The sequence below is a fragment of the Homo sapiens genome, chromosome 12, assembly GCF_000001405.40.
Source record: "Homo sapiens chromosome 12, GRCh38.p14 Primary Assembly".
Classification (NCBI taxonomy): Eukaryota; Metazoa; Chordata; class Mammalia; order Primates; family Hominidae; genus Homo; species Homo sapiens.
In genome coordinates this window covers 74,419,516-74,426,708 of record NC_000012.12, presented here as the reverse complement: position 1 = coordinate 74,426,708, position 7,193 = coordinate 74,419,516, and positions in this window count along the sequence as shown.

Sequence of the window (7,193 nt, the reverse complement as noted above, 5' to 3'; positions counted from 1 at the left end):
TTGTTAAATATTTTGGCAATTAAAAATGCCACTTTTCTTATTTATTTATAGAAATATGATATATGAAATCACACAGGATAGGATTAATAAGAGATTAAGCTTGACTTGATCAATTACTTCAATCTGGGTCTTTGATAATTTACTCAACAGTGAAGATACTAACATTCATACTATATCATTCAATTTAATAATGTACTTGAAAGCATTTTGACATTATTTTGGCAGATTCATGGCAGGCATGTTAATATATTAACATATTATATTATCTGGATTTTCTTTTACATAATAGTTCATTATGGTTTCTCTGTTAGTGATTCTTCCTTCTTTGCTGACATGACAACAGAGACACAGCTTTCTTCCACATAATTATGAAGGAAGAGCTTTATGTCTATAAATACAAACTTAGCTAAAACCACATATGATCAGATGAGTAAAACCCCCTATGACACAGCATACTTTGGAGTCTTGGACAATTGCATATATTCAGAGGTTTTATTGATAGCAATTTTTCAAGTTATCTCTACCATGAATTTATTTATAAAAGATAAGTTCCTTATCCATTGAAGACAAGGAACCTATTGTGTACTCTATTTATAGTCCCAGCATTGTCTAGTGTTTATTTAAGCATATTGTTATCAGTTAATACTTGATTTACTAAGATGATAGAGTATTTGAGTAACAATAGGAGACATGCTGGGACTTGTAAGAAAACAAATAAATTACACACCAAGGCATATACAAGAATTATTTAACATGTACCAGTTGGAGCCAGAAAAGTACTCCTCAGATTAATATTTTGAGGGTACTTGATCCGAACATAAAATTGGATAAGCATGAATTCAATGAATTATGGGCACTTTTTTAGGACATAGGATTTAACCACCTATCAAGAATCCTAGTAATTGGGAACAAACTTACTCTTAGGATGAGGGTAATGGCTTGTTCAGAATGAAGTGAGAATGGCCGAATCACCCTGGTACCTGGTAGACTAAAGCCACACCAAAAAAAAAAAAAAAAAAAGTGCTGGAATAGATTGTATGCCATTCATGAAGGCCTTCAGGAATCTGCTGCTGAGATGGGCTTATGCAGTATGAGAAAATTCAGTGGTGTCTCTTTTCTACAGGACATGGCTGATACAGTAGGTTCGGCTGATACAGAATTGGACTTAACATCCTTGAGGATTGATTGATCCCAGAGTATGGAAGCCAGGTGGCAGTGCTTAATCACAATGAGGCAGGGAATCACAAATACCTTGAGCATCAGCAAGGTCGGAGAAACAGTCAAGGGGGCTTCACCAGCAATGAGTTGTGTAGATTGTTAGCAGAGAATGGCAGACTAGGGCAAAACAGACGGGTAGCCAGTAATGGTCCCAAGTAATGTCTATGACCTGAAAAAAAGAATGGAGGAACAGGAACCTGAAAGTGGTCCTCCTAATGAAAGGTCACAATATCCTGCTCAGTTCCTGAACCTGAGACACTATTCAGTTCCAGAACCCATTGAGAGAAGGGCCCTGAAACATTGTAATAAATATAAATTGTAATTATTCCCTGGCCTTCCCTGAAAGGATAGCTATTTATTCAGGTGATTTTTCACTGGGAAAAGCAGAATACACAGACATTTCAAAAACTGACAGATACAGAATCTGAACTGATGCTTATATATGGAGATCCAAAGGATCATAATGGCCCTTTGTTAGAGTGGGAGCTGACAGGGCCAGATAATAGACAGATCCTGGCTAAAGTCCAAGCAGGCTTATGTGCATTTTCTAGATATGTGGACCCACTCGGTGGACATTCCCCTAATCTCTGAGTGTATCATTGGAATTGACATGCCTGGAAGTTGGAGTAACTCCACTTTGATTACTTGTCCTGTGAGGTAGGAACTTTCAAAGTGAAGCAGGACTGAAAGAAGTGTCTGAAACTGCTCCTTTCCCGTGCATGTTAAGATAGTAAATAAAAAGCATCTAGCACCCAGATCTTGGTTTGTAATATCATTCCCCAGTTAAAGGAATTAGGGCTCCTTGGAGACATGGCTGATCCTAGAAAGAGCGTTCAGTTGCCAAAGCTGGAAAATTTAAGTAGTACTGGATTGTAATTAAAAGTATAAAATAAATATTTGAGTTCATGCTTATATTAAGAAATTATTGGATAAATACCTGATAGAGTCATGGAATTCCAACTAATTTGCGAAGATTCTCCACCTTTAAGGAGATACAGCCTAACTTCCTACTCCTTATGTGTAGGGTGCACATTTTGATTTTTCTCCAATGAGTATAGTGTGGAAGGGGTTGGAAAATAACTTTATAGTGGAGAACTTAATAAACATTATCTCAGCCAGGTGATTGATGTTAACATCAGCAGTGATAAATTATGTTAATAGTATCTGCTCTTGCTATGATGTGCTGAGAATGACACTTCTGTGGTCTTTCTCTCCAAAACTCATAATCCCAGTCTAATCATGAAAAAAGCATCACATGTATCCAAACTGAGGAATATTCTACAAAATACCTAACCAGTACTCAACACTGTGGAGGTCATTAAAAACAGAGAAAATTCTGAGAGTGTCACAGCCAACAGGAGCCTAAGTAGACATCATGACTAAATGCAATATGCTGTCCTGAAACAGAAAAAGGACACTAGGTTAAACTTAAAAAAAGTGAATAAAGTGTGAACGTTAGTTAATAATAATGTGTCAATAGTAGTTCATTAATGTTTTTTAAAATAAGATGTTATTAATAGGTCGAAATCTGTGTGAATTTTATGGGAAGTCCCTCTATGACCTTTGTAACTTTTCTATAAATATAAATCTATCCTAAAATTTTAAAAGTTCATTATACATCAAAAGAAAACAAAACAATATCATATTCATGAGCATAGCTGGGAAATGGTGGAGATTCTTTTCACCGTTAAAGACTTAAACATTGCAGGGGGTAGTAGGGACTAATGTTTCTCTATTATAATTCATTGTTCTGGCCCCTGCAGAAATAATAGATCCTGGATAATGACTGTAAATGATCATGAATTCAAAAAGGTGTTATTCCTATTAAAGCTGCTGTGCCAGGTGGGGTTTATTGTGAGAGCATATTATTATGGCAGCAAATAAGTGGTATTCATCCATTGATTTGGCAAATGTGTTCTTTTCTATTCCAACCAGAAGGGAGGATTAGAAACAGATTCATGTTCACATAGAATAGACAACAATATTTACAGTTTTTTAAAAAAGATTGTATTAGCAGTCCTGCTTTCTGTAATAAAATCAAGTAATGATACAAGGACCAACTGGGAATTCCACAGAATATCACATTGATTCATTTCACTGACGATATACTAATTGGACAGTACAAGTGAGAAGTGGCTAATAGACTGGTGACTTTGGTAAGACACATATTTTCCAATGTGTGGAAGGTAAAACCTATGATTCAGGAACCTTACTAGACATTTTTAGGACTCCAGTGAGCAAGGGTGTATGAGAATAACCCCTTCAAAGAAAAAAGCAAGTTGCTGCATCTGTATTCTTTACAATTAAATTAAAAGGAAGAATCACTTTCCATAAGCCTCACTGGGTTTTGGAGGCAACACATTTTACACTTAAGAATACAGCTCTGGGCTGGGCAAGGTGGTTCACACCTGTAATCCCAGCACTTTGGGAGGCCAAGTTGGGCAGATCACCTGAGGTCAGTAGTTCAAGACCAGCCTGGCCAACATGGCGAAACCCCGCCTCTACTAAAAATACAAAAATTAGCTAGGTGTGGTGGTGGGCATCTGTAATCCCAGCTACTCGAGAGGCTAATGCAGGAGAATCACTTGAACCCGGGCAGTGGAAGTTGCAGTGAGCCAAGATTGCACCAGTGCACTCTGGATCCTGGGCAACAGAGCGAGACTCTGTCTCAAAAAAAAAAAAAAAAAGAAAAAGAAAAAGAATATAGCTCTTACCTATGACTCATATATTGCATAACTCTAAAAGCTACCACTTTTAAGTCTTAAATAATAAAGGGCTCTATCACACGTTTAGGCTGTAGTGCCAACAGCCATGTTTCTTGGCTATATGAACGACTCTAGAATATTGGAGGAAAACATTGCAGTGCAGAGATAATGCGAGCTCCAACGGAAGAATTGTAACACAGCTTCCTGGGTTTCTGAGGTGAGACTAGTGATAGCACAGAGTTAAGGTAAATTAGAATGGCTGTTGGATAACAGAAAGGATGAATATTAGCTGCATTCCCAAGACCAACTGGAAGTGACAGAGGTTATAGTTTATCTTTCTAACATCTCTGCTCTACGTTCTCTATAAGGAAGAAAGTCCAATGGGCCAATGGAGAAAAGGCCTTCTGAACCTAAAAGGAAAAGTAGGTCTCTGTAGTGTCACCTATCAGATCTCGTTCAAGAGAATTGACTGCTGCAGACATAGTTGACTGACAGCCCAGCTCTCGATTCTTTTATCCATCATTGTGCTAAAACAGGCCACATATATTCTGGGCTGCAGCCAGCCAGTTACAAAGCATGGCAGTTTATTAGTGCTCCTTCTTGCCCTGTGAAAAATTTTTCTAATGGGAAACTTGTGCTCTGGGATTCCTCAGCAGCCTGGCCAAGACTTTCTTAGAACTTTGCTGCAATTTAAGGGCCTTTCTACCCAATTGTTTCTTTCCTCTCTCTCCTTTTACAAAGGCAGACCTATATTGTTGTCTGAAGGGTCTTCTCACCTATTCTTGCTCCCTCGACTTTTATCTTTCATAAGGAGTTATCTCGAATAAATTTCCTGTACATCAAGTCCCATATTGGCCTCTGTTTCTTGGGGGATACAAACTGACAGAGAGGTCATCAGGCCGTCCTATGTGCTACTTCTTTTTATTCTAATTTTTCATTTACCATGGGATATTAAAATGGGTTTGTTTCCCCAGTAGACTAAGAACTCTTGGACTGTCTGGTAAACTGAAAATGGATCTAACACACCATCAAATCTATACTAGATGAGTAATACATATATGTTAGCTGAATAGAAATTTTATTAAATTTATGTGCTCCTAACATGGTATACATATATCAAATTTATCATTGCTGTAGTGTGTTGTGATTATTGATAAACCTCTCTCCAATGACCACTATTAAGCTGTAAACCATTTAGGGTAAAGATTTTCTCATTCCTCTTTGTGTTCCTGACACACAGTAATGGCTAAATAAGTGGTAAAAGTGATAATTGTTATTTCAAATATTAATGGCTCATATAAAATAATAAAAGATGTACTACATTAATGAAAAGCAGTCATTATTTCATAAATCATTTTATGAGTATGCCAAACATCATAAGGGTATGCCAAATATCCAAAGAAAGAATTAAGACCCACTTACGTCGCATCTACTGACAGTTTAGGAAAAATTCACAAGAAGATGAAAAGCAAGCATTTCTAACTGATTGAAATAAGAATGAAAGTACAATGGTGGTTCTTAGTATGTGGCCTCACTGGATTCCCTAGAGGGTTGCCTTACATAAAGAAAATCATTTCTTTATTGATTCAATTCATTCTTCATAACCATATTGAGCATTTCCCAAATGTCAACCACTGAATTGGATATCACATTTTCTTATATTAGAATATAATTGTTTATAACGGACCATGTTTAAACATTTATTTGTTTATTGATATGTCTTGTTATATATTATGTATTGATACTTCTCAATAATTATTTATTAACACTTATTGATACTTAATTTAATAAGACATGATCTCATATTAAAAATAGAAATTAAATCCATAACACTTTACATATTGATCATTATTCTCTCTTGCTCTTTCTCCTTCTCCATTGTTTTCTCTTTTCACACTAAAAAATAAAAGCAAACAAAAAAGAAACAATAACAAAACAAAGCAAGAAATAGGAAGATCATAACGTCTCCCTTAAATAAAATGATAAAATACTTTGTTTGATTTTTTCCAACAAATTATCATGTCATTGCTCCCTTTTTTTTTTTTTTTTTTTTTTTGAGATGGAATCTCACTCTGTTGCCAGGCTGGAATGCAGTGGCACGATCTTGGCTTGTTGCAACCTCTGCCTCCCAGGTTCTTGGCTCATTGCAACCTCTGCCTCCTGGGTTCAAGCAATTCTCCTGCCTCAGCCTCCCAAGTAGCTGGGACTACAGGCACACACCACCACACCCAGTTAATTTTTGTATTTTTAGTAGACATTGCTCTCTTTACTGTCACAATTAAATGTTCTACCTTACTGGCTTTAACTTCTCATATTTCCCTACTGATGAACTATGTATGGGTTGGGTAGCCATTATTCCACTGAAAGTATTCTTCCAAAGATAAAAATAGCTGCCCATATCATTTCCAATGGGTGTTAATCTCCCACCATAAGAATCTGTGACACACGGATGCATGATCTATGAAGTGAGAGATGGGAACAACAATGGAACGAAAAAGATCACAAAGTGAAGTAAACATTTTGAGGATAAAATGAGTCAAGTTAAAAAAGCTAGTAAATGATTAAATGAAAGGTGACCCTAGAAGCTAAATGCAAACATCAGTGTGGTGATCCCAATTCAGTTCTCGTTAGCCATCAACTTAAACAATAAATAAAAACATTTTTCAAAGAATCATCTCTGTAAGCAGGGTATACCTGAAGCAGGTAGTATAGTATAGAAACTGTGGAAGTACCAGGGGTTATTCAACTACCAACCTTTCATTACCTAGATTGAAAAGTTTCTCAGCTTTGCCGCTCTTGTCATGATCATCACCCCAGCTTAAGGTCCATATCTCCTACTTGTTTGACATAATTCATTGCCTTCCTAACCAGCCTCTTTGCTTCCAGATTTTTCTTCATTTAATACATTTTCAACAATTCTATACAAGCTAACTTTCTAAATCTGATATGCTACTCCTCTCAAAAATATTCAGTGGCGTTTCCCTTCATGGGGGTAGAAACATAAAACCTAATTCCTTAACATGGTATTCAAGATTTTGGTAATTCTTTTTCAGTCTGCATTTTCATCTTGATCTCAGGTCATGTTCTTCAACATCTTGACATGTTGAGCTTCCTGTTTCTTCCCAAATTCTCATTCATTACTTCTCACTTTTGCTTAATCTATTCCATCTATCTGAACTATCCTTCTTTTACTCTGTAGCAGCTAGAATGTAGCTCCTCAGTGAAGATTATCCAGAATGAATGCCACTGAGTGTAACTAATTGCAATCAG